Genomic DNA, 16,382 nt, shown 5'->3' on the forward strand with positions numbered 1-16,382 from the left:
AGACAAATACTACATGATCTCACTCATATATGGAATCTAAAAACAAGTTAATCTTGTAGAAGTAGAAAGTAGGATAGTGGTTATCAGAGGCTAGAGAGAAAGGATAGGAGAGGAGGATGGATAGAGGTTGGTCAGCAAGTACAAAATTACAGTTAGCTCCATCCATGTCCCTGCAAAGAACGTGATCTCATTCCTTTTTATGGCTGCATAGTATTCCGTGGTGTATATGTACCACATTTTCTTTATCCAGTCTATCATTGATGGACATTTGGGTTGATTCCATGTCTTTGCTCTTGTGAATAGTGCTGCAGTGAACATACGTGTGCATGCATCTTTATAATAGAATGATTTATATTCCTTTGGGTATATACTCAGTAATGGTATTGCTGGGACAAATGGCATTTAGTGGGAGCTGAACAGTGAGAGCACATGTACACAGGGAGGGGAGCAACACACACTGGGCCTGTCAGTGGGGGGCAGCCGGGAGAGGGAGAACATCAGGATAAATAGCTAATGCGTGCAGGGCTTAATACCTAGGTGATGGGTTGATAGGTGCAGCAAACCACCATGGCACACGTTTACCTGTATAACAAACCTGCATGTCCTGCTCATGTATCCCGGAATTTAAAATAAAATAACAGGCCAGGCGCAGTGGCTCATGCCTGTAATCCCAGCACTTTGAGAGGCCGAGGCCGGCGGATCACCTGAGGTCAGTAGTTAGAGACCAGCCTGGCCAACATGGTAAAACCCCATCTCTACTAAAAATACAAAAATTAGCTGAGCGTGGTGGTGGGCACCTGTAATCCCAGCTACTTGGGAGGCTAAGGCAGGAGAATTGCTTGAATCCAGGAGGTGGAGGCTGCAGTGAGCCAAGATCACGCCACTGCACTCCAGCTTGGGTGGCAGAGTGAGACTTTCCCCCCCCCAAAAAAAAGATTACAGTTAGATGAGAAGCGTAACTGGTTTTCTGTTGTACAGTAGGGTGACTATGACTAATAATAATGTATATTTCAAGGTAGCTAGAAGATTTTGAATGTTATCACCACAAAGAAATGATAGATGTGACTGGTGTGGTGGCTTATGCCTGTAATCTTAACACTTTGGGAGGCCGAGGCAGGAAGATCACTTGGGCCTAGAAGTTTGAGACCAACCTGGGCAACATAGTGAGACCCTGTCTCTACAAAAAAGTAAAAAAAAAATTAGCCAAGCATGATGGCACATGCCTGTAGTCCCCGCTACTCAGGAGGCTGAGGTGGGAGGATCACTTGAGCCCAGGGGTTTGAGGTTTCATTGAGCTATAATTGTGTCATTGCTCTCCAGCCTGGGAAAGAGAACAAGACCCTGTCTCTAGAAAAAAACAAAAAACAAAAAACAAATGATAACTTTAAAATTATATATGTGCTAAGTATCTTTATTTGATCATCATACAGTGTATACATGTATTAACATATTACACTGGGCCAGACGCGATGGCTTATGCCTGTAATCCCAGCACTTTGGGAGGCCGAGGCGGGCTGATCACCTGAGGTCGGGAGTTCAAGACCAGCCTGACCAACATGGAGAAACTCCGTCTCTACTAAAAATACAAATTTAGCTGGGCAGTGGTGGTGCATGCCTGTAATCCCAGCTACTCAGGAGGCTGAGGCAGGAGAATCGCTTGAACCCGGGAGGCAGAGGTTGCGGTGAGCTGAGATCGTGTCACTGCACTCCAGCCTGGGCAACAAGAGCGAAATTCCATCTCAAAAAAAAAAAAAAAATTACACTGTACCCCATAAATGTGTACAATTATGTGTCAATTATAAATAAAGTTGAAATTTTAAAAATGATCTGTGGCTGGCCGCGGTGGCTCATGCCTGTAATCCCAGCACTTTGGGAGGCCGAGGCGGGTGGATCACGAGGTCAGGAGATCGAGACCATCCTGGCTAACATGGTGAAACCCTCTCTCTACTAAAAATACAAAAAAATTAACTGGGCATGGTGGTGGGCGCCTGTAGTCCCAGCTACTTGGGAGGCTGAGGCAGGAGAATGGTGTGAACCTGGGAGGCAGAGCTTGCAGTGAGCTGAGATCGCGCCACTACACTTCAGCCTGGGCGACAGGACAAGACTCCGTCCGTATCAAAAAAAAAAAAATCTTGTTTAGAAGGACATTGGGGAACTGAATGAATTATTATTTTGATTGCTGCTTTTTTTTTGCACATTTATTTAATAAATGTTTATTGAGAACCTACCATGTGCTAATCATATAGGCCTTAGTAATCATCTTGATTACTCTATCTTTCCTAAAAATAAAACAAAAATAACCTAACAAAAACCCACTAAGCTCTTCTGCTGCACTGAGTGCTACTTTTCTTTTCTTTTCTTTTGGTTTTTTTTTGGCTAGATACACTCTCATTTTGCCTTTCCTCCCTTTTCTTTTTCTTTAATTTGTAGTATGGTACTTGTCTGCTTTCATGTTCTTACTACTGTTGAACCTGCTTGGTAGATGAAGTAGCCAGATCAGAGCTTTTGTTTTGTGTAAGTTACTAATAGGTTATTTTACTATTCAAGTCTTTTTCCCCTGTCACTAAGTACTTGGTTGAGAAAAAATAATTGAATAGCTTTTTGAAATAAAACATGTCATTCATTCCAAAGAATGCAAAAGTACATATAGTTAATGAGAAGAGAGCTGAAAAACATATCCTGCTTAGTTTCCCAGGAAGCTAAGGGGAAAAAACATAAACTTACCTTGCCTTACCTAGAATTGGACCAGAATGTGGACCTTATATGAGACAGCTTGAAGCCTTGACCTTTGGGTACTTAGCTTGTTCTGAAATCAACAATTCAGAGGACTAAAGAGCCTTTGGTAATCAGTCAGGGTTCACTTGCAAGAGAGAGAAACTTCTTTGGTCTGGGCTAGGAATGACTTCTACTACAATATTTAAATTGGCCTGTCAGAGGAATGCTACCTTTGCTACAGTCAGAAGGTTGGCATTAGGAGGCCAACATGAAATGCTGAGTTTGAGAATGCGCCATCTCAATACCAAAAAAACCCAGTAAAAACATAGGCAAAAGACTTGAGTAGGTGTTTCTCCAAGCAAAATATACAAAGGTCTAGTAAGCATATGAAAAGATGTTCCACATGGCTAATCATTACTGAAATCAAATCAAAATCACAATGAAATACTACTTTATGTCATAAAATGGCTACTATTAAGAAAAAGAACAGAAAATTACAAGTATTAGCAGGAATATAGAGAAATTAGAACACTTTGTGCATATTTCTAGTAGGAATGTAAAATGGTTCAGCTGCTGTGGAAAATGATATGGTGACTCCTCAAAAAATTTAGCAGAATTACTGTACAAGCCAGCAATTCCACTTCTAGGTATATACCTGAAGTAAAAGCAGGGACTTGAACAGATATTTGTTTACCCATGTTCAAAGCAGTATTATTCACAATAGCCAGAAGATGAATGCAGCTTAAGTGTCCATGGATGGATGAATGTGTAAACAAAATGTGATATATACATAGAAGGGGATATTATTCAGCCTTAGAAAGAAAATTCTGGGCTGGGCGTGGTGACTCATGCCTGTAATCCCAGCACTTTGGGAGGCCGAGGTGGGTGGATCATTTGAGGTCAGGAGTTCGAGACCAGCCTGGCCAACATTGTGAAACCCCACCTCTACTAAAAATACAAAAATTAGCTGGGTGTGGTGGCAGGTGCCTGTAGTCCCAGCTACTTGGGAGGCTGAGGCAGGAGAATTGCTTGAACCCGGGAGGCGGAGCTTGCAGCGAGCCAAGATCGTGCCACTGCACTCCAGCCTGGGTGACAGAGTGAGACTCCGTCTCAAAAAAAAAAAAAAGAAAGAAAATTCTGACATACACTACAACACAGATGAACCTTGAAGCCTAAGTGAAATGAGACACAAAAGAACAAATATTGCATGATTCTACTTATGTGAAATATCTAGAATAGGGAAATTCATAACAACAGAATATAGATTAGAGAATACCAGGGACTGAGCATGAGGGGGATAGTGAGTTATTGCTTAATAGGTTACAGGGTTTTTGCTTGGAGTGATGATGAAGTTCTGAAGTTGGATGGTGGTAATTGTGGCACAACATTGTGAATGTATTTAAGGAAACAGAACTATAACACTTAAAATGGTAAAAATGGTAAATTTTATGTATAGTTAACCACACACACAGAAAAGAGCATGTATCTGTTATGCAGGTATTAGGAAACCACTACTACTTGCCCCACAACTGCAGCTGCTTCATGACCCTTACAAAGTTAGTGACTGAAACCTGGAGAATTATGTGCATGTGGTCAGCATTTCCATAATCCTTGTGGATAGCCAAAACTTCAGTAAAACAACTCCCATTTCACCATCTGTTTTCCATATCTCATGAGCATCTCATGAGCATCTAGTTGGCTGAACCTGATTCACATTTGAATCCTAGTAGCAAGGGACCCTGAGGAATAATGATTAGCTTTTCAGACTGTGTAGTAGGAGGAAACGACTAGAGGGAGACTAGAAAGGATACTGAGTGCTGCTTCATCATATCTGCCACAGGCACTGAGTCAGAGGTGATTCGTAGATGGCAGTGCTCCTTTTAGTCAGGTCACCATTTCCAGTAGTATTGAGAATGTCCTGCAGCTGATAAGTTGGAGAGGTAGGGTGGGGACAAAGTCATTATCTCTTTTTGCAGTTAATGGGCTGATTGTGCTATGGTATTTGCAGTTTTAATGTGGTAGAACACATTTGGATTATTTAAATTATTGTAAAGAGATTTGGGTCACTCTAATGGGATGCATTAAAGACTCATTGACTAAAGACTATCTGGGCTAATGTTTAGGAGTACCAAATGTAAGGTTGTTATGTTTATGATAAGCTTTTTTCATTTCATCAAGTATGGATATAAGAATATAATAGAAAATATACTGAGTTCTTTTGCTCTTAGGCTGCTGAAATCTCTAATTAGTATGAACTAAATTTGTTTGGAGAGAAAAGAAACAAATTTACTAGTAAAGCATTTACTTGCTGAAAATTGCACTTCTTAAAAACAGTTTTCAAAAATTCTAACCAGAGGTCACCCAAAAGATAAGATATTTCATATTGTTCAGAACAGTCCGGTGTTTTTATCTGTTATCTGTGACTTAAAACTAAGTTTGAATAATTCCTGTTGATAATCGGATTCTGCAGGAATGACTGTTCTCTCAGCACCTTGATAGGTATTGACCTTTGATGCTTAAGTGGTTTTTTCTTTTTTTTTTTTTTTTTTTGAGACGGAGTTTCGCTCTTGCTGCCCAGGCTAGAGGGCAATGGTGTGAACTCAGTTCACTGCCACCTCCGCCTCCCAGGCTCAAACAATTCTCCCGCCTCAGCCTCCTGAGTAGCTGGAATTACAGGCATGCACCACCACGCCCGATTAATTTTTTTTTTTTTGCATTTTTAATACAGACAGGGTTTCACAACATTGGCCAGGCTGGTCTCAAACTCCTGACCTCAAGTGATCTGCCCACCTCGGCCTTCCAACGTACTGGGATTATAGGCGTGGGTCACCACCCATTAACATTTTGGACAAGTACCAAGCTTTGCATGAAATGCTTTTTAAGGTGGACCACGCTTTAATGGTGTAATAAGAGTTAGTATTTAAATCAGATTTGTTGATACAGTTATTCCACTTCTAGAAATTTAACCTAAAGCAATGCAATGCCATTTATAATAATAATAAAATAGTGAACAATTGTTAACAATGGGGAGATGGATAAATTATTGTATAGTCATACAATGGAATGTTTTAAAACTATCTTTTCAAAAGATATTTAATAGCATTAGACAGGACTCATGCAATAATGTTAAGCAAAATGATACAGAATTATGTATGATGTGATTTCTCTTTATAGAAAATTTTGTGTGTGAGAGAAATATAACAAATTATAAGGAGTGATCCTTTAGGGATTAGTTTTCAAATTTTCTGTTCTTCAGTGAATATATATTGCTTCTATATATTTGGCTTTTTATTATAGAGAGACTTAATTATAAAAGATTCAAACCATGCAGAAACTTGCAGACTAAAAACCCTAAAAATCCTTCCTCTGTCCCCGACCTAGAGAAATGGAGACCAATTCATCAATTTGTTTTTATATGGATTTTGTTTTTGGTGTCACATCTAAGAGATCTTTACCTAACCCAGGTCAGAAAGATTTTCTCCTAGAAATTTTCTAGTCTTAGGTTTTATGTTAGGTCTATGATCCATTTTCAGTTAATTCTTATATGTGGTAGAAGTATGAATTGAGGTTTTTACATATGGGTATCCATTTGTTCCAGCATCATTTAATGAAAAGACTGTGTTTTCTCCACTGAATTGCCTTTGCACATTTGTAGAAAATCAGATATCTATATATGTATAGGTTTGTTTCTGGACTCTATATTCTGTTTCCTTGATTTATGTTAACACCACTTTGTCTTGATTTGAGTACTGAGATAGGCAGAAGTCCCCGGGTTCAAGCAATTCTCCTGCCTTAGCCTCCTGATTAGCTGGGACTACAGGCAAGCACCACCAAGCCGGGCTAATTTTTGTGTTTTTAGTAGAGACAGGGTTTTGCCATATTGGCCAGGCTGGTCTCGAACTCCTAACCCCAAGTGATCCACCCGCCTCTGCCTCCCAAAGTACTGGGATTACAGGCTTGAGCCACCCCGCCCTGTCAAGATACAGAATTCTAAAATGACTCCTAATGACCTATGCTTTTGTATAATGGGAGGGACCTGTAATCCCACCTAATCATGGGATATCACTCCCATGGTGACTAAGAAAGGGAGATTATCCTCAGTGGACCTGATCTAATCAGACAAACCCTTAAAAGGGACTGGGCTTTTCCTGGAGAAATAATCCAAGTACAAGGGAAGGGAATTCAACACAGAAGAAGCTGCTGATTTTTGGGAAAAGAGGAGGCCATGCAGTAAAGAATTCGAGTGGTCGGTAAGCTTACGGTAATTTGTTACAAAGCAATAGAAAACAAATACAGGTAGTTGTATAATAAGTGTTTAAATCAGCTGTTTATGAAATGTATCAATATCTACAAAATTAAAGGCCCGTTGGGATTTTGATTGGAATTGGGTTGAATGTGCAGATAAGTTTGGGGAAAATTGTCCTCTTAACAGTATTGATTCTTCTGACCTACTCATTTCTCATTTTTAGGTGTTCGTCTTAGCAGTGTTTTTTGTTGTTTTCAGCATATAGGTCTTGCCCATGTTTTGTCAGATTTATCCCTGAGTATTTAATATTTTTTATGCTATTATAAATGGTATTTTATACATTTTAATTTTTGATTGTTTGTTGCTAGTATATGGAAATACAATTGATGGCTGGGTGTGATAGCTCACGCCTGTAATCCCACACTTTGGGAGGCTGAGGCAGGTGAATCTCCTGAGCTCAGGAGTTCGAGATGGGTCTGGGCAACATAGCAAAACCCTGTTTCTACCAAAAATATTAAAAATTAGCCAAGTGTGCCAAGTGTGGTGCGCATGCACCTGTGGTCCCAGCTACTTGGAAGGCTGAAGTGGGAGAATGGCTTGAGCCTGGGAGGTGGAGGTTGCAGTGAGCCGAGATCGTGCCACTGCACTCCAACCTGGGTGACAGAGTGACACCCTGTCTCAAAAAAAAAAAAAAAGAAAGGAAGACAATTGATTTTTGTTTGTCGATACTATATGTGGCAATCTTGCTAAACTGACTTATTCTAGTAACTGTTTTTGGTATAGTCTATTGAATTTTCAACATAAATAATCAAGTTGTCAGCAAATAGAGTTTTATTTCTTCCTTTTTAATCTGTATGCCTTTTACTTTTTTTTTTTTTTTTTCCTCGAGATGGAGTCTCACTCTGTCTCCCAGGCTGGAGTTCAGTGGTGCGATCTCCGCTCACTGCAAGCTCCGTCTCCCGGGTTCACGCCATTCTCCTGCCTCAGCCTCCCGAGTAGCTGGGACTACAGGTGCCTGCCACCATGCCCGGCTAATTTTTTGTATTTTTATTAGAGACAGGGTTTCACCGTGTTAGCCAGGATGGTCTCGATCTCCTGACCTCATGATCCACCTGCCTCAGCCTCCCAAAGTGCTGGGATTACAGGCGTGAGCCACCACGCCTGGCCTGCCTTTTGCTTCTTTTTTTTATCTTATTACACTGACCAGAACTTCTGATGTTTTGTAGAAGTGGTGAGAGTGACGGTCTTGCCTTGCATCTTTTTTTTTTCCTTACACTTGCTTTTTAAAAAAATTTTATTTTTATTTTTGTTTTTGAGAAAGAGTCTCACTCTGTTGCCCAGGTGGCTCACTGCAGCCTCCACCTTCTGGGTTCAAGCAATTCTCCTGCCTCAGCCTTCTGAGTACCTGGGATTGCAGGCACCCACCACCATGCCTGGCTAATTTTTGTATTTTTAGTAGAGATGGGGTTTCACCATGTTAGCCAGGCTGGTCTTAAACTCCTGACCTGAGGTGATCCGCCTGTCTCAGCTTCCCAAAGTGCTGGGATTACAGGCATGAGCCAACATGCCCAGCCTTTGTTATTGATTTCTGCCCTCATCATTATTATTTCCTTCTGCTTTGGGTTTAATTTTCTCTTTAGCTTCTTGGTGGTATTATTTTAGCTGATATTAGTGGATTTCCATTTCTCCCAACCTTTGTGCTATTGTTAACATATGTTTTACATATGTTATAAATCCCACAGTACATTGCTTTTTGTTTAAACAGTAAATTATCTTTTTTTTGAGACGAAGTCTTGTTCTGCCACCAGGCTGGAGTGCAGTGGCACGATCTTGGCTCACTGCAACCTCCGCTTCCCAGGTTCAAGCGATTCTTCTGCCTCAGCCTCCTGAGTAGCTGGGACTATAGGCGCGTGCCACCACGCCCAGCTAATTTTTGTATTTTTAGTAGAGACGGGGTTTCACCATGTTGGCCAGGATGGTCTCGATCTCTTGACCATGTGATCCGCCCGCCTCGGCCTCCCAAAGTGCTGGGATTACAGGCATGAGCCACCACCCGGCCTAAATTATCTTTTAAAGAAACTTAAGGCCGGGTGCAGTGCCTCCCATCACTTTGGGAGGCCGAGGCAGGCAGATTACCTGAGGTCAGGAGTCTTGAAAAACCAAACAAAACATCAATACAAATGAATATCCTTCTATCCTGAAGGACAAATGAATGAGGACAGCATCCTCTTCCTTTTCCCACAATGTAATAATTCTTGATTTGAGTGTTTATCATGGCCTTATAAGTGCATTGTTGGCTATTAAAAACTTTCTGTGCTTCCTTACAACAAGCAAAGTTAAAAGCTGGTACTGCGGCTGGGCGCGGTGGCTCACGCCTGTAATCCCAGCACTTTGGGAGGCCGAGGCGGGTGGATCACAAGGTCAGGAGATCAAGACCAGCCTGGCCAACATGGTGAAATCTCGTCTTTACTAAAAATACAAAAATTAGCCTGGTGCAGTGGCACGGGCCCATAATCCCAGCTACTGGGGAGGCTGAGGCAGGAGAATCTCTTGAACCCAGAGGCAGAGGTTGCAGTGAGCCTAGGTCATGCCACTGCACTCCAGGCTGGGTGATAGAGTGAGACTCTGTCTCATAAATAAATAAACTAACTAACTTAAATAGTAAGAAAAAATGTATATATTTATGCATGTGGCTACCATTTTGGTGTTCATTTCTTTGTGTAGATTCATATTTTGGTATGGTAACATTTTCTTTCTGCTTGAAGGACCTTAAATTTTTGTAGTGCATGTCTGCTGGTGATGAAATCAGCTTTTGTGTGTCTGAACAAGTATTTGCCTTTGCTTGTGAATGATATTTCACTGGGCCTACGGTTTTAGGTTGTTGTTTTTTTTTTCTTTCAGTACTTTATGTTGTTTCACTGTATTCTAGCTTGGCTTGAGCCCAGTAAGAAATCTCTTATCATTCTTACCTTTGTTCCTAATGTGTCTGTTTTCTCTTTTTGCTTTTAAGATTTTCTCATTGTCACTGTTTTTAAGTAATTTGATTTTGGTATGCCTTGGTATAGCTTTCTTCTTGTTTCTTATTTTTGGAGTTTGTTAAGCTTCTTGGATACACATGTTTATGGTTTTCACCAAATTTGGAAAATTTTTGGCCATTGTTACTTCAAATATTTTTTCTGTTCTCTCTTGTCTTTTGGAAGCTGTTTGATGTTGTTCCACCTCTCACTGATGTTCTTTCTTTGGTGTGTTTGTGTGTGTGGTAAAATATATACAACCAAATTTATAATTTAAACTTTTTTTTTTTTTTTTTTGGAGTTGGAGTCTTGCTCTGTCACCCAGGCTGAAGTGCAGTGGCACGATCTCGGCTCACTGCAACCTCTGCCTCCCGGGTTCAAGTGATTCTCCTGCCTCAGCCTCCAGAGTAGCTGGGATTACAGGCACCCGCCACCATGCCAGGCTCTTTTTTTCTATTTTTAGTGGAGATGGGGTTTTCACAGTGTTAGCCAGGATGGTCTCCATCTCTTGACCTCGTGACCGCCTACCTCGGCCTCCCAAAGTGCTGGGATTACAGGCGTGAGCCACTGCTCCCGGCTGAAATGATTTTTTTATATAGTTCAGTGGCATTAAGTACATTTACTGTGTTGTGCAACCATTATCACCATCCATCTTTAGAACTTTTAAAAAATCTTCCCAAACTGAAATTCTGTACCTATTAAAAAATGACTCATTCTCCCTGCTCCCAGTCCCTGACAGCCACCATTCTACTTTCTGTTTCTGTGAATTTCACTACTCTAGTTACCTCGTATAAGTGGAATCATACAGTATTTGTCCTTTTGTGACTGGCTTATTTCACTTAGTATAATGTCTTTAAGGCTCATCCATGTTGTAGCATGCGTCAGAACTTCCTTCCTTTTTAAGGCTGAATAATAGTCTCTTTTTTAAAGTTCTCTTTTTTTTCTGTGTTTTATTTTGAAAAGTTTCTTTTCTTTTCATTGTTTTTTTGAGACAGGCTCTTGCTCTGTTGCCCAGGCTGGAGTGCAGTGGCGCGATCTCAGTCCACTGCAGCCTTGAACTCCTGGGCTTAGGTGACCTTCTTGCCTGAGCCTCTGAGTAGCTGGGACTACAAGCATGGGCAACCATGTCTGGCTAATTTTAAAAAATTATTTATAGAGACGAGGTCTCACTATGTTGCCCAGGCAGGTCTTGAACTCATAGGCTTAAGCAATCCTCCCACCTCAGCCTCCCAAAGTGTTGGGATTGCAACCAGCGCCCTTGAATTGTTTCTATTGTTACTTAGTTACATTTATTGCTCTTACCTTCTGCAGTGGCTCAGCAGCTGTTAGTCCCATCCAGGGTATTTTTCATCTCAGATTATTTCATTTTATCTCTAGAACTTGGAGTTGCGTTAGTCTTTTTTTACTTATCTATTTCCTTTTTTGTTGAGATGGTGCAGGGGCAGGGGACATCTCCCTTTGTTGCTCAGGCTGACCTTGAACTCCTGGCCGCAAGGGATCCTCCTGCCTTGCCTCCCAAAGTGCAGGGATTACAGGCGTGAGCCACCACCTGGCCATTATGTGTCTATTTCTTCATTTAACTTTTTGGACAAATGTAATACACAATTATCATAACTGAGTTAATTTCCTTATCTGCTAATTTTATTAAATGTGTCAGTTCTTGATTGATTGATTCTTCTCCTCATTATAAGTGATACTTTCCTGCTTCTTTGCATGCCTGACAATCTTTGAATAGATTCCAGACATTATGAATTAGTTGTTGGACATTATGAATTCATTGTTGGGCTCTAGATACTTTGGTATTTCTATTAATATTCTTGAGCTTTTTGTGGGATGCTGTTCAACTACTTGAACAGAGTTTGATCCTTTTGAGTCTTCCTTTTAAGATTTGTTAGGATGAACCCAGAGACATGTTTAGTCAAGGGTAGGGTTTCTCAATAGCAGCACCATGGCATTTGGGGCCAAATAATTCTTTGTTGGGGGAGGGGATAGTCCTGTGCATTATAGAATGTTTAACATCATTCCCCCCCAAAGTTGTAACAACCAAAAATGTCTTCAGACATTGCCAAATGTTCCAGGAAGTGGGGAGGATTGCCCGCAGTTGAGAGTTGCTGCCTTAGGGTTAGTTTTGCCTTACTACTATGGCAAGATCTTTCTGTGTACTCTACCCAAAGCTGTTCATGAGACCTTTTTTCAATCTGGCTCTTTGGAATAGGTACTTTTCTTGGCCTCATGTGAGTGCTGGGAATTCAATTGGGTGGTCTTTCCTTGGTCTTGGTTAGTTTCCTTACATACATGTGCTGATAGGCATTCAGCTAAATATTCAAGAGAGACCCGCAGATCTCTGGAGTTCTTGTCTGTGTATCTCGTCTCCAGTATTGTGCCCCATAAACACTAGCCATCTTGATTGCCCCAAACTCTCAGCTCCATCTCTTCAACTCAGTGAGCCTGCCAGGCCTCACATGAGTTTCCCATCCTGTGCCTCTTGTGGCTGGGAAACTCAAGGCCGTAACCTGGGGCAGTAGGGTTCACCTTATTTGTTTCCTGGCTCTCAGGGATTTTCCTGATGTCCAGTGTCTTGACACTTTTTTTTTTTTTTTTTTTTTTTTTTTTGGAGACAGAGTTTCGCTCTTGTTGCCCAGGCTGGAGTGCAATGGCACGATCTCAACTCACCGCAACCTCCGCCTCCCGGGTTCAAGCCATTCTTCTGCCTCAGCCTCCCAAGTAGCTGGGATTACAGGCATCTGCCACCACACCTGGCTAATTTTTTGTATTTTTGGTAGAGACAGGGTTTCTGCATGTTGGTCAGGCTGTTCTCAAACTCCCAACCTCAGGTGATCCGCCCACCTCAGCCTCCCTAAGTGCTAGGATTACAGGCGTGAGCCACCGCACCTGGCTGAAACTTTTTTTTCCCCATATATTTTGTTTGTTTTTTGGTTGTTTCAGGTCAGAGGATAAATCTGGTTCTTGTTAGTAAATCTTGGTCAGAAGCACATGTCCTTTAACAGATCATTTATTTGTATTAATTATTGATAAAAGCTGAATTCTTAAACATTTACTAATCTAATTTCCTTATTTTATCAATTTGTATTTATCATTCAAAGTCTCCTGTTCCCTGTAATTCCTTTGGTACAACATAAATATTAAATTGGCCCTAAAGCTTTTTATCATCTTTTAATATACCTCTTTCATGCAGGCTTTCACAGGGTTAGCTAAGTAGTGATTTAGTATGGGCCTCTTAACTATTATATAGTAGCATACAATTAAAGGGCATGCACTGACCTGATAAAGCAGAACAGTGAAATGTGTCATGCTTTTAGGGCATTCCCACAGCAGGCTCAAAGACTTCCAAGAGACTTCCACGTATAACTTATATTTTCTAGCAGCTAAAACGTCAGCATCAAAGCCTATTAGCCTGATTGAGGTTGTAAAGAACTGGTGAGCTAAGACAGTGGAAAAAAACATATAAAAGAAGAGAAGAATCATTTTGAACAGAGTATGAGAGGAAACTGTCCTAACGAATAATGCTACAAGAATGGGAGTGACATGGAACCCATTGGTGGTAAGCTGTTAGAGAAAGGGGAATGTTAACAGACTAGAAATAATGTGACTGAAGAAATCTGGCCTTGTATTTTTTATTTATTTTTTTTTATTTTTGAGACGGAGTCTTACTGTGTTGCCCAGGCTGGAGTGCCGTGGTGTGATCTCTACTAACTGCAACCTTTGCCTGCCAGGTTCAAGCGGTTCTCTGCCTCAACCTCCCTAGTAGCTGAGATTACAGGCGCCCGCCACCATGCCTGGCTAATTTTTTTGCATTTTTAGTAGAGACGGGGTTTCACCATCTTGGCCAGGTTGGTCTTGAACTCATGACCTCGTGATCCACCCGTCTCAGCCTCCCAAAGTGCTGGGATAGGCGTGAGCCACCATGCCCGGCTGGCTTTGTTTTATGTGAAGGAAACTTGTCTCTCAGATTTGCTATATCATAACCACTACAGAGATTATAGCATGTGCTTGTTGGATATCCAAGGATGAAGTAATTTAGTCAGAGATACTTTGGGTAAAAGAAGATATGTATAGTAGGTAGGGTGAAAGCATCTAGTTATCCATGTGAACTAAAACAGCAAAATCATATTTCTAATGGAATTGTATATATGATATAATAAATGATATAAAATAATATAATAAATGTATAAGTTCCATGTGTTAAAGTGAATAAATCATAATTCTTTGACATTTGAGGTGGTGATGATATGCTACAGCTAAAAAGAGTTAAGAGTTTTTGTTATTCCATAATGCATAAGAATTAGACAACTTTGTAAAAAATACAGACTCCTTGTAAATGGATGTTATAATAATTTTCAAAGACAGGGAAACTATGTGGGTCAATAATATAAGTTCTTTTGTGAAACAAAATATGACTTAAGTCTTCCAAAAATTACGATTGCTTTTAGTAATAAAGAAATAAATACTTAATGTTTAACTGACACTTCCCTGACATTCATCTGTGGGTGGATTTTATCAAGCTTATTTCTTGTTTTCTAAATAGTTTTGATGATATAAATGGTGCTCATGTAGTTAGTGTCTGCCTTTGCCAAGTTACTGTAAGTCTTCGTGGCAGGAGTTTATGTGGGTAGGGAAAGAATGCAGAGCAATACCAGCTTTTTTTTTTTTTTTTTTTTTTTTTGAGACAGAGTCTTGCTCTGTCGCCCAGGCTGGTGTGCAATGGCACAATCTCGGCTCACTGCAAGCTCTGCCTCCCAGGTTCACGCCATCCTCCTGCCTCAGCCTCCCAAGTAGCTGGGACTACAGGCGCACGCTGCCATGCCCGGCTAATTTTTTGTATTTTTAGTAGAGATGGGGTTTCACCTTGTTAGCCAGGATGGTCTTGATCTCCTGACCTTGTGATCCACCCGCCTCGGCCTCCCAAAGTGCTGGGATTACAGGCGTGAGCCACCGCGCCCGGCCGCAGTACCAGCTTTTAACTTTGCTTGTTGTAAGGAAGCACAGAAAGTTTTTCATAGCCAACAATGCATTTATAAGGCCATGATAAACACTCAAATCAAGAATTATTACATTGTGGGAAAAGGAAGAGGATGCTGTCCTCATTCATTTGTCCTTCAGGATAGAAGGATATTCATTTGTATTGATGTTTTGTTTGGTTTTTCAAGACTTTGAAAATAAAGTTTAATCTAACATATATAGAGAAAAGTATAGATCACAATTATACAGCTTGATGAATTTTCACAAAAGGAACAAACTCATGTAACTAATATGCAGATTTTTAAAAAAGAACATTTGTATTAGAACAGTTTTTCTTTTTTTCAAGCTGGGTAATAGGCACATAGGTGTTCGTTGTATCATTTTATTCTTTTATGCTTTGAAGTTTGCCTACCATTTTTAAAAAATTATCTCAGGTGGAAATACAATCTTCAGAGGTCTGGAAAGTGTCAGAAAACCTACAGGCTTTAATAGTTGAGAAAGTACTTTTGAGAAATAGTGTTTTTTTCCATGTAGGCCTTTGTCTCCTATGTATCTGATATACTTTATAAACCTGAGAAGGCCCAAGTAACTGAATGTTTTACAATAAAAGAAGAACATAAATAGAGCTGTGTGAAATCAAAGTAGTAAAAATTATTGGTACTTTTTAAAACATAGCACCTTATTGGCCTTTTATTCTGCAGTATAAAGTCTGGGTCATCAAATTTGTGAGTACATGGAAATGACAGTTTTCTTTTAAAAATTTTATTGCTAAAGTCCGTGATAGTTTAAGAATAAAATGCCCTATTCAGTTCTATAATGTAATATTCAAAGCTGTAGAAAGAACTGAGTTATTATTGAGATTCAAATATATGTCTAGTTTAAAGGCTTCATATCTGTTATAGAAATCATTATGTGTGCAGTAGTTAGAAATACGCTTAATCTAAAGGGTTCCCTGGAATTACAGTTATCTACTTTCCTTTATGTTTATTTCCCCCCAGGTGGGGAGATACGTTTTCCATGAACATGGAGATTTCAGAAATCGGATTTTTTTCTCTTTTCTTTGATTTTTAAAAATATAATAAATCTTCCTATATTTCTTGATTTTATGAAAAGTATTAAAATGGGATTTTTCTCAGTTCTCGAGTAGGCTTTTTAATTAAATTGTGACTCATGCAGTGGAAAAGCCATTTGTAAAATGTCGTTCTGTAAAAATGTTTGGTTATTAAATTTTCTTCTGCTGTTGGAGTCATATGCATAAAATTATTAGTGTGTTAATCTATTGAAAACCATTCATTATTGAATAATTTTTGTTTCTTTTACTCTAGAAACCAATAGGATAGTGTAGGTAAATTACTGTTTCTGGGGTGCGTGTGTGTATATACATATGTGTGCGTGTGTGTGTGTGTACATCTCTCTCTCTCTCTCTA

At 40.1% G+C, this 16,382-nt stretch overlaps 1 protein-coding gene across 7 annotated transcripts in view, besides 2 other annotated features; it reads left to right on the top strand.

Moving 5' to 3' along the window:
* SAMD8 (sterile alpha motif domain containing 8) overlaps positions 1-16,382 on the top strand; it is an 82,531-nt gene that overhangs the window by 34,120 nt on the left and 32,029 nt on the right. The window contains exon 1 of one of the 7 annotated variants that reach the window (XM_047424640.1): positions 6,874-6,965. The exons of 5 other annotated variants lie outside the window; for them this stretch is intronic. Coding sequence is in view for 1 of the 2 variants with exons in the window: in XM_017015738.3 (XP_016871227.1) it covers positions 13,511-13,537 (27 nt within the window). In the remaining variant the exon portion in view is untranslated. Of the gene's footprint in view, positions 1-6,873; positions 6,966-12,961; positions 13,538-16,382 lie in introns of those variants that run through there. One more of the 7 variants, XM_017015738.3, reaches the window with a different exon arrangement.
* Positions 5,280-5,447: a silencer, noted in NCBI's record as "fragment chr10:76898750-76898917 (GRCh37/hg19 assembly coordinates)". NCBI's record gives its function as "represses an EF-1alpha promoter that drives an FKBP-Casp9 reporter gene in an ReSE screen in K562 erythroleukemia cells {active_cell/tissue: K562}" and the evidence as "EXISTENCE:reporter gene assay evidence [ECO:0000049][PMID:32094911]".
* Positions 7,975-8,474: an enhancer, noted in NCBI's record as "H3K4me1 hESC enhancer chr10:76901445-76901944 (GRCh37/hg19 assembly coordinates)". NCBI's record gives its function as "activates a minimal SCP1, AML or CMV promoter by ChIP-STARR-seq in primed H9 embryonic stem cells {active_cell/tissue: H9 hESC(primed)}" and the evidence as "EXISTENCE:reporter gene assay evidence [ECO:0000049][PMID:30033119]".

This window comes from Homo sapiens, chromosome 10 (genome assembly GCF_000001405.40).
Source record: "Homo sapiens chromosome 10, GRCh38.p14 Primary Assembly".
NCBI classification, from domain to species: Eukaryota; Metazoa; Chordata; class Mammalia; order Primates; family Hominidae; genus Homo; species Homo sapiens.